Source organism: Homo sapiens, chromosome 4 (assembly GCF_000001405.40).
Source record: "Homo sapiens chromosome 4, GRCh38.p14 Primary Assembly".
Classification (NCBI taxonomy): Eukaryota; Metazoa; Chordata; class Mammalia; order Primates; family Hominidae; genus Homo; species Homo sapiens.
The window spans coordinates 7,384,047-7,396,105 of NC_000004.12; the positions used below are offsets into that span (position 1 = coordinate 7,384,047).

At 54.2% G+C, this 12,059-nt stretch overlaps 1 protein-coding gene across 8 annotated transcripts in view; it reads left to right on the forward strand.

Annotated features, from left to right (window-relative positions):
* Positions 1–12,059, forward strand: part of SORCS2 (sortilin related VPS10 domain containing receptor 2) — a 550,290-nt gene that overhangs the window by 191,509 nt on the left and 346,722 nt on the right. The window lies entirely within an intron of this gene.

Here is a 12,059-nt window from a genome sequence, read left to right on the forward strand (position 1 = left end):
TTTCAGACACTGGGTTTCGTGCCTGTGAAGGTGTCCAATGCCTGTGCATGAAGGGCCTTCTTCCTCCCACAGTCCCTGCAGAGGCCCTTGGTGGAGGCCCAAGGGCTGCATGGTGGAGTCTGAGGCCAAAGCTGCCATCCAGCCCTCCTTGCGTGAGTGGCAAGACTTGGGGCAGGTAATGCCTCTCGGTGCCTCAACTTCCCCCAAATGGGGACAACATGGTTCCCAGGGACAAGGCCTGTGGGGGGACTGAAAGAGATAACGTCCATAGAGTGCTCAGCATGCGGCTCAGGACAGAGGAAGTCATTTATTTTAATGAGACGGTGACGAGAAGTGGCAGGTTTTCTGGTCCAGGCATCTTGGGTGAGGCATCCTGCCTGCCCACAGTGCACCTCCACTGCAGGTCAGACCTCGGGGGACTGGGGCTGGCTGTGGGAAGGAGACGGGGTTAAGGTGCGTACACGGGGCCCTGCAAATGTCTCTGCCTCAACCGCGCTGGGTAACAGGTGTCAGTGAGGTGGCTTAAGGCAAACCACCCGTGTCCACACCACAGGGCTGGAGGACATCTCTCAACCCAGCTGAACGTCCGGCTCCACCCAAGACCCTTCTTGGGAGACAGTGTGTTCTGGGTTCCCACCTCCTTCCTGGCTGACCCTCACACTGTGCCGGTTGCTCCCTCTGGACACACTGCACGGCCAACTCCCTGCATCCTCGCTTCAGCTCTGTGAGGCTCAGTGGCTTGCCCAGGACTGCACAGCAGGCACGGGCACGTAGAAGGGCCAGGACTCAGAGGAGAGCCCTTTGCGGAGATGCCTGAGGGCAGGGGGCGCGGACACTGCATTCGAGGAGGAATCAGGCAGGTGGAGGTCCAGGCTCGCCGGCTCAGCTTCAGCAGAAGATTCTTAGAGGGAAAGGCCTGTACTCACTGCAGCTCTGATGGCTCCACTTTGGAGGGAGAGCCTTCAGGGATGCTCTGCGGGCATTTGTGGATCCCAAGCTTGGAGAATCCAGGAGGGCTCTGTGGAGCAGGGGCCAGGGTGGGTGGCACTCAGGGGTGTATGGGTAGGACTGAGCCAAAGCCCTAGGGTCTGCAGGGTGGGCAGCGGCATTGGCAGCAGTGTTGAGTGAGGCCGCATCCCTTGGAGAGCCAGCACCTCCTGTGGCTTTTTGAGCCTAATGTGATACCCACCCCTCCCCTCAGGGGTCTTTAGTAGAAAGAAACGATATTCCTCTCCCTGGTAAATAAATGCAGGATCAGTGTCTTTGAAATGGAATTGATTTCTTCATAGAGGATGAGGGTGCAATGGGGATGCCCAGCACTGAGCCAGCTGGCTTCCTCAGGGACCACAGGATGGGCCAGCCCAGCCAGCACTGTTGAAGGGAAGGGGCCAGCAGGAAGTCCTCTCTTTCATGCGGGCTGGAGAGAGCTTCCGAGCCTGTTGTCCTAGCTCCCTGGGGGCTGGTCTTGGCCTCAGGCTGATGTGGTTTGAGTCCATCACAGCTGGGGCTTGAAGAGTGCCACTCTGCACTCGGGAGGAAGGCCTGTGCTCTTCCATGGGGTCTGACGCCCTGCCCCACATTGGGAAGCAAAGCTGGGCCTGGGTGAGGGTGACCCTCCTGAGAGGTGGGCAGCTTGAGCCACCACCGTTCCCATGTGGTGAGGGACAGACGCCAGCTCCAGGCTCCTGCCTCGGGGGTATAACACTGATCCAACCTTTGTTCAGTACCACCTGAAGGGGCAGGGCACTGCCAAGCCAGCCTTGGCCACCTGCCTCGATTGGGACCAGATGTCTGAAGTGGCCCTTGCTGGGGGAGAAAGGAAATGCACACTTATTGAGCACTGACCGAATGCTTCCACCAGCATCTAGTCTTCCCCTTTGCTGTGTGTACCAGCCCCACTGGCATGAAAATGAGCATCTTCCTCATGTTTTGGAGGCCAGAAAGGAGGGAGGCTGTGGCCAGACTGGGGTACATCCACTTTGCCAAGTGGAGCAGCCACACTTTGGAGTGGCTCTGTTGCCTGCGCATACACATACACATATGCACACATGCACACACACATGGACATACACATATGTACACACGCACACATGCACACACATACAGGTACACAGAGATACACATGCGCACGCACACACATGCACACACATACACATTTGCACACACGCACACACATGCCCACCATACACATGCACACGTGCACACACATACAGGTACACAGAGATACACACGCACATGCACACACATGCACACACATACACATTTGCACACACGCACACATATGCCCACCATACACATGAACACATGCACACACAGATACACAGAAATACATGCACACACACATGGACATACACATATGTACACACGCACACATGCACACACATACAGGTACACAGAGATACACATGTGCACGCACACACATGCACACACATACACATTTGCACACACGCACACACATGCCCACCATACACATGCACACATGCACACACATACAGGTACACAGAGATACACACGCACATGCACACACATGCACACACATACACATTTGCACACACGCACACATATGCCCACCATACACATGAACACATGCACACACAGATACACAGAAATACATGCACACACACATAGGTACATGCATGCACACATGCACACACAGATACAGAGATACACATGCACATACATACACATATGCACACACATACAGGTACACAGAGATACACACATATGCACACATGCACACACACATGCCCACCATACACATGCACACATGCACACACAGATACACAGAAATACACACATGCACACACACATAGGTACATGCATGCACACATGCACACACAGATACAGAGATACACATGCACATACATACACATATGCACACACATACAGGTACACAGAGATACACACATATGCACACATGCACACACACATGCACACACATGCCCACCATACACATGCACACATGCACACACAGATACACAGAAATACACACATGCACACACACATAGGTACATGCATGCACACATGCACACACAGATACAGAGATACACATGCACATACATACACATATGCACACACATACAGGTACACAGAGATACACACATATGCACACATGCACACACACATGCCCACCATACACATGCACACATGCACACACAGATACACAGAAATACACACATGCACACACACATAGGTACATGCATGCACACATGCACACACAGATACAGAGATACACATGCACATACATACACATATGCACACACATACAGGTACACAGAGATACACACATATGCACACATGCACACACACATGCACACACATGCCCACCATACACATGCACACATGCACACACAGATACACAGAAATACACACATGCACACACACATAGGTACATGCATGCACACATGCACACACAGATACAGAGATACACATGCACATACATACACATGCACACAAATACAGGTACACAGAGATACATATGCACACATGCACACACATGCACATACACATATGTACACACGCACACATGCACACACATACAGGTACACAGAGAAACGCACATGCACACACATACACATTTGCACACACGCACACACATGCCCACCATACACATGCACACATGCACACACATACAGGTACACAGAGATACACACGCACATGCACACACATGCACACACATACACATTTGCACACATGCACACACAGATACACAGAAATACACACATGCACACACACATAGGTACATGCATGCTCACATGCACACACAGATACAGAGATACACATGCACATACATACACATGCACACACATACAGGTACACAGAGATACACACAGATGCACACACAGGCACACAGAGATATACACACATGCACACACCCACATGCACACACCGATACACATACACACATGCACACACACACAGATACACAGAGATACACATGCACACATGCACACACATGCACATGCATACAGATACACAGATACGCACACATGCACACACACATGCACACACATACAGTTACACAGAGATACACACACACATGCACACACATGCATGCACAGACACATGCACACACATGTGCACACAGATGCACACATGCGCACAGATGCCCCCACACCTGAAGCTGGGAGACAGGTAGACGGCCTGCAGAAGTCGGCTCCGTGTTGGCCTGGCTCCTGCTCCTAACTAGAGCAGCTGCAGTGACTGGGAGGACAAACAAAACCCCAATGACAGACTCAGCCTGAATCCCCTCTGGCTGCTCTTGGTAGAATCTTAACCAGCAGAGAGCTGGTCCTGGGTGGTTTTGGCCAGATGAGAAAAGCCACCTGTGTTCTGGGACCCGCCCGATGGGGGAGGGGAAATGGAGGCTTTGAAAGGAGGAGTCTTCTTTATTTTATTTGAAAAATGTTTTTGAAATAGGTAATACAGCCAAATGGTTCCAAATGTCATGACTACTAAAGGGTCTCTAGTTGAAATCTCCCAGTCTCCCTCCTGTTATCCCTCCCCGCTTCCCCACCCACAGGTGTCCACCTGATCACATTTCCTGTGTTTCCTTCCAGCATTTCACCATGTTTCTTCAAGCAGAGGTGAATACAGATTGTTTTTAAATTGAGATAAAATTCATGTCACACGAAACTCACCTCTTTAGCCATTTTGAAGTGCCCTTGACCTCTCCCGCTTGTGAACGTAAGAGTGGGCACGGGAGATCTCCCTGCATCGGCTCCGACACATCCTTTTTCGTCCTTCCCATCCACACAGGTGCCCGGGGCTGCCTTGAGTGGTGAGCACCCCCGGCGATCCCCCCAGGCCCTGCTGGTGGATGCGTGGGTTATTTCTGGTCTCTGGTTGTTGTGGTGTTGTGGTGTTGTGGTGTTGTGGTGAAGGACTTTAGGCATCCCTCATTTCCCATGCACAGCACTTCGATGGAATAGCTTCCCTGAAATGGGATCTCCAGGCCAAAAGGCACATGGGCTCGTGCTTAACTTGGCGGTTCTGCCCGTGCCCCACTGCGGGTGGATCATTCCTGCCCCCACGGGCAGTGCGTGTGGAGGTCTTGGAAAGCGGCTTGTTGGTGAACAAATTCTGTTCCTGCCCATCCTGCCTGCGCTCTTTCCCTCAGTCCCTGGCAGTGGAGCTTGTCTGGCTGGAGGTCTTCGTCCATGTTGGCTGGCGGGTGAGGTGGTCTCCAGACCAGTGTAACTCTTTAAGAACAGCTCCAGTTGGTGAGTGTGGAGTTACTGATGTGGAGTGAATTTGGCCAAATCCTGTGTGATCCCGGGACAGGCGAGGGTCTGAGTTGGGCCTGAGTGACGTGACCCGTACCAGCGAGGCATGTCTGAGACTCAGGCCGGCCACTGCCCGTGGGCCCCACTGATGGGACTTCTTACAGATTCCAGGGTCCATGTCCACACCTGGACGAGTACACAGATGGGGCGGGGGTGAGGAAAGACCTCACCAGGAGTGGGTCTTGGCTTTTCTGAGTCAGCCTGCTGCTGATGAATTCACTCAGCAATGATCATTCTGACACTCCCTGTGTGCCGGCCCTGGTGAGGCTCAGGAGATGGAGGTGTCTGAGGCTGACGCAGTTCCTCCCCTCCTGGGGTGCACAGGGTGGTCAGGGAAGGCTTCTAGGAGGTGGTGGCCTTGAGAATGAGCAGGAGGGAGGCAGTGGAGAAGTGAGAAAGGGGAGAGCATAGCGATCCAAGTATGCAAATGCCTGCGGGGTGGGTGACAGAGTCAAGGCCGGAGCTCATGGCCAAGGGGGTGTGTTTGGAGTGCAGTCCGCGGTAGTGAGAGTGGAGGGAACCAGACTGCTGAGGGATGGGAGGAGCCCCGGCTTCCTGATGAGGCTGAAGGACAGTGAGCAGGGGTGCGGGCCTCCCTCCTGGGGATGCCTTGCCAGGGTAGCCCCTCAAATGTGAGCGACGAAATGAAGCTTCTGCAGGCCTGGGGTGGGGCTGCCTGTGGGTCTGCATTTCCAGGAGCTCCCGGGAAGCTGCATGGCCAGTCCCCACTGTGAGGGGGAGGCCCACGGCTGTGCAGCTTAGCCAGGGAGACCTCAGTGACACTGCGGGCTTTCAGGGGCCTTGGACACTGACCTTAAGTTCTCCCTTTTTCAATGGGGTATTGATTTTGGAGTTGGCAATCAACACTAAGTTCTTGCAGTCTTTTAGTAGTAGTATTTGGTGCTTTATGTGTATTGATTGACAACTGAATTGGGCCTGAGTCTGTCTGTCTTTTTGATGATTCTTGAGCCTCCGAAAGGCAGCCATGTGTCAGGCTGCTTCACAATCATTTCCCACTGGCTGTGTGGAAGACTCAGTGTCCTAAGTTGGAGGTGCTCAGAACGTTTCTTGCTTCTTGTCTTAAGAGGGGCACATTTGAAGAGGCGATGCCGAGTGCTCCTGAAGAGCAAACCTGGTAAAGACGAAGCTTGGGGGAACTGGGCGCTCATGCAGGGCCAGGGTTCAGGCTGGCTCAGAAAACCTCAGTGTGTGTCTCTCCAAAGGGATTATTGCGCGTCTCTCCGTAAGGAGCTTGTACCCGGGGCCATTGCCGTGCTGCTGAATCAGGCCCCACTGCACAAGAGCAGAGGGAAGTGGCCCAGGGTCTCAGAGGAGGCACCGTGAACTTCCCTTGGATGGTGAATGGTGAACCTGACCCCCGGATTATGGAACAGCTGACCTCGTTCCTGGTGGATGCTGGTTACATTGGGGAAAGGATTTGGTGGAGCAGTTTATGAAAATGGTCTTTTAGAAACTCCCAGGGCATGTTATTAGGTTTGGAATTGAACAGATTTCATGATGTTTGGGGGTTCTAAAGGCATCGATCGGCTCTAGTTTTTGGAAGGGAGCAACTCCTCCAATTGACAGGTGGAGAAACCGCGAACTCTGCGAACTCAGAAACGTGCCAGTGACCACTCAGGGAGGAGGGGCTGAGCCTTGGGCGTCTATGTTCTGATTTCTGGTCTAAGTTTGTGTGGATGGACACAAAGACATGGGGAGACCCTCCCGCAGTCTCCAAGTTAGCACCATTTCTCAGATCAGGAAACCGAGGCTCAGTGAGCCTGGCCACCCTGCATCACACCCTCTTTGTTTTATTTTAATCCATCTGAGAAGTGCCCACTCTGCCAGGGCCACCTGGTAAGGACAGCATTGACCTCCCAGTTCATGCTGTTCACAGGTGAAGACGCTGACGACTTTGCTGCTGGCCCATCAGCCCTGGAGCTGAGACTTCCTCTGAGCCAGCCCCCTTTCCCCAGAGCAGCAGAAAGTCCTGTTAATGCCGTTGTGGGTCCGAGGCTGGTTAGCCTCGGCTCCCTCCCACTGCCGGAGCTTTGAGACGTAGCCCAGGCCCCTCATCTCCAGGCAAGTTGGACGGCTCAGCACAGAGCAGAGGACCCTCCTATGAGCCCAGCACAGGGCTTGGCACTGAGTTGTGTGGTGGAGGTGGGGCCGGCTGTGGTGATCAGGGGGTGGGGCTCCATGGCCGGCCTAGGGTCTCTCCAGGAACTGAGTGTGGACTTCAGGGTTCTTTTCCTTCTGGGGAAGGGTACCCTCAGTCCCTCTGAGGGAGCGAGCAGGCCCTTCCCTGGAATAAAGCGAGAGTCAGTGGACGTGGGGGCTGGGCTGTGGATGTGGATCTACCAGGACCAGGGTCTGTCCCCGCCAAACCCTTTCTTTTCTCTGAACCTCAGTTTCCTTATTTCTAAAATGAAGCAGTGGTGATGGCATCCTGAGTTCCTGTGAGCTCTGTTGTTGAATCTGACACACCTCCTTCCAGCCCCTCACCCAGATCCGCCCTCACTTGCAAGGGAGGTGGGTGCACAATGGGTGAATAAAATCGGGGTGCCCTGCAGACACACAGTCCCTAACCATTAGCAGGGCTGGAGGAGCGTTGAAACTCGCAGAAGCTAGAGGAGTGGCAGCTGCTGCCGGACCGGCCCTGTTATTTACAGGGTTCAGCACAAAGTGAAAACACAAAGCCCTCGTTCAGACATTCTCAAGAATTTCAAGACAGCAACAGCAGAGCATGAAACCAAGCTCAGGGGCTTCGTGGCTGCGCAGGTTGCAGACCTGGCCCTGGTCCTGGCTATCTGGAACACTCCACGCTGTGGAACTCCTCGTGTGGGCTCTCACTGGGCTAAGGAAGGTGAAGCCTTGTGTCTCCCAGGGTTCTGGAGCCCGTCCCCTGAGGGTTAGGATGGGCATTGCTGTGAAGGAGCCCTGGGCCTCCAGGACAGGGCATGTTCCCCACCCTTAGGTGTCAGGAGGAGCGGGTGATGGGCTCTGCGGGGAGCCCCCGGACATCAGGGGCTTTGGGGTTGGCTGGGACTGGGCCTGAAGGACAGGTTCTCCCTCCTGTCTGCATCAGCTGCTGTATGGATGCTCATTCATGTCCTCATGGACTCACCCACTCATTGATTTACTCAAGGAAAGACTGATGGATTTTTCCGCTCTGTGCTGGGCTCACGGGGGTTTAGGGGTGGGTGAGTCCCCACTGTCATGGAGCTTACTGCCTGGCAGCCTCAGGGGCGGGCAGGTTCGGGAATTCCAAAGAAGCTGAGGTCTCCGCCTGGGGTCCCGGGTTGACCTTTCAGGGTGCAGGGCTGCTGGGCTGGTCCTGGGTGGTAGTGCATCGGAGGAGCCCTGGGCATCTGCTTGTCCCGTGCTTAGGAGGCAGGCATCACAGAGGGGGGAGGGCAGCAATGAAGTGCAAACCCATAAAAGCCCTGGGCCTGGGCACAAGAGCTCCTGGCTCTGCTGTGTGCGATGCCACAGGTCACTGGGCGGTTCTGTGCCTCAGTTTCCTCAGCCGTAATGTGAGAACAGTAATATGGGCCCCTCCCAGTCGGGGGGGGGGGGGTGCTGCGAGAGAGTGGATGAGTCGATGCTTGTCACAGGCTGAGCTGGCATAGATTTGGAACCCAGCACCCTGGCTCCCTGGCCCATTTGGTGACATGGCTTTGGGAGAATAGGAACAGATTCGTGCACTGCCTTCCCCACGGCCGGGAGGACGGGAGGCAAGAGGATGAGACGTGGGGTGATGCGTGCATCCTGACGAGCCTTTGAAGTGATGAGTGGCAGCCGCGGCCGACCTCTTGTGGACAGCAGTAGCTCTTCTTTCCTCGTCTGTTGCTTGGACATTCCTGGCCGTCTGGGAAAGATCCCTGTGGGCTGCGGGCTCAGGCAGCCTCTGGATGGGAGGAGACCCTTGGCAATGGCCGGAGCTGTGTGGCCCTGACTCACATTCCCGATTTTTCTCCCACCCAGATCAAAGAGCCCCAAGGCTAACACGTCAGCCACTGAAAAAAACTGTCCCGGGGATATTTCATTTCCAAAGCTGTTAGCTGAGGGCCCCAGAAGGGCATGTCGTAAGTGTTGGTTCTTTGAAACTACTTTTAATGGAAGTTTCTTCTGAAAACACAGGCTTTCAGTGTGGCAGTGAAGAGCCCAAGCTTGACGTCGAATTGCCTGGGATCAAATTCTAGCTCTGCCGCTTGCTGAGTGTGTAGTTTTTGGCAAAATATTGAAGCGCTCTCTGCTTTAGTTCCTTCATCTGTAAAACAGGGATAATAACATGTGGCTCCTGGGGGCATGGGGGCAGCACCTCTTCGGTATCCCTGGGGCATTGCGGGGGTTGCTGTAACTGTGGGGCTCGTCGGTGGCAGGGCTGAAACCAGTGGTTATTAGCTATCATTATTCTGAATGACGACGGCTCCTATGGCTTATGGGTCATTTCACGTTTGCTACTGAATATTTAATCGTCACCGTGGCATCATCATGGACTGGAAAACTGAGCTGTGTTGAGGTCGACGGTCTGCTAGTGCAGAGCCAAGCGTGGAACCCGGGTGGTCTGACCTCACTTCAGGGTCCTTCTCCTTGATGACTGCCGAGTCAGGTCCTTCTCCTTGATGACTGCCGAGTCAGGGCGTGGTGGGGCTGCCTTGCTGTCTGGCTTCTCCAGCACTGGCCCTTCCTGGGCGACCTCCTTGTTTCAGCCCTGGGCAAAGCCAACGCCGCAGGAACCCAAAGTCCCATTTGGCTTGGTCGGTTGAAGCCAGTAGAACGATTCTGTCCCCAAGACAGAGTGGAAGGGGGTCCTCTTGATGGAAGGAGTGCGGTGGTGGTGGGGAGGTGGGCACTGGCCTCTGCCCGACTTCACTGCATAAACGATCCTTCCTTTGGGTAAAGTCACCTGTATTTCTTTCAGTGAGTGGTGTGAGTGCTTGTTATATGGCAGGTGCTGTGCCCCGCACTGGGGAGATAAATAAGGTCCCCACCCTTAACAGTTTATCCCTCAGCAGTAGAAGCAGACCCTGTGAGCTGTGTGGGGTTGCAGGGAGGTCCGGCAGGGTTGGAGGGGGGGTGTATGGAGGGGGCATTGAGCCCAGTGTCGGGGGCCTTCCTGGGGGTGGTGTGAGTCAGGCTGAGATCTGAAGGTTCAGCAGGAATTCACCGAGGAAATAGGGCTGGGGGATTTGGGGAAGAGCATCCCAGGGTGAGGAACGCCTTGTGCAAAGGCCCCAAATGCTGGGGTTTAGAATGAGGGGGTGGACTGGTGGGGACTCTCCCCTCGAGGGAGGGGGAGGAGGAAGCAGTCTTGCTGGGTGATTGGGTGACTGTCCACAGTGGCAGAGCTGGAAGGTACAGGCAGGAGTGACGGGGATGTGAAGCCAGCCTCACAGCAGGGTGCGCCCCAAACCCAGCAGTCTGCAGAAAGGCAGGGTGCCCTCCAGAGCCGAGCTCCACCCCCCGAGGCCAGGGCAGAGCCTGGATCTCACTGCTCCAAGATCAGATTGGGAGGGGGCAGGGATTTCCTCCTGGATGGGGCCGGATCAAACAGACTTTGAGGTCCCTTCCAGCTGCCACTCTAGGCTGTACAAAATCCCCTCTGGGAACAGCGTGACTATATCAAATATGAATCAATGGGTTAAAGTCCACACCCTGTCAGCTCCCCACTCCTCGGAGGGACCTGGCTCTGACGGCAGGCTGTGAGCTGACAAGAGAAAATCGCTTTGTTCCTGAGCATGGCATAGCCAATCTGGCCTTGATTGACAAGGCCTCGCTTTTTTAAATCATCGCCGCCTGTAAGATGCACACTGTCCCATCTCGGGCAACAGCCCCTCCTCATGTCCTCCCTGCTCAAATCACCAGGGAAAGAAAGATACTAGGTCAGCCCAGCTGCCATCTGTGGAAACGGCACCTTAGGACCGAGCGCAGGGAGCTCTGCTTCCACGGAGGAGCCCGACCGTTGGGGATGACCAGGGTGGTGACCCCAAATAACGAGGCTAACAGCTGCTCCAAAACCCAAAGCTGTTCCCATCTTACCTCCCGGGGGCTACCCTAGCCATGGGAGTGTTAGGAACAGCTAACAGGGACTGGCAGTGAGTGAAATGAAATTTGATGTACATGAAAACGCAGTGGCTGGTGCAGTAATTGGGAAAATCTTTTTCCCATCAGGGCCGGTGCATCCTTATTCCCCACCCCCCAACTTTTTTTGTTTACACAGTTATTTCAAAAGACAGTTAGGTGCTCCTAAACACTTTTATTTTCATTTTTATAAATAGTTGCATTTTCTGCACAGGCCTGAAATGCAAACAGCGTGGTCAGGTGGGCCCCGTGTGTGATGAATGAATGAATGAATGAATGGTCTCAACAACAAGAAAAACGTGTGTGCGCCACAGAGGACTCCTGGGCCCCCAAGCATCTTGGCTGTGCCTCCCCAGGCACCACTCCAGGACAAGTAATGACAGACGGACCACAGGGACCTGCTCTGGTCTTGGGTGGCAGCCCCAGCAGCTGTTTCCAGCAGGCTTAGGGGATCCTCTAACGCGCTGGTGGAGACAGAGCCCTGTCTCCAGAAGCCTTGCCAAATGCGCTCCATCCTCACATAGGGACCACTGCCCTGGCACTCCCTTTGCCACAGTTTGGGATTGTCCAGGGCTGGGTTTGAATTATTTCCAACAAATGGCAGCTACTGTGTGGATGTCACTGGATTCAGATGTTCCCAGAGTCATTCTGCAGAGCACAAGCAAGTCCTCAGAGCAGAAATAAGCC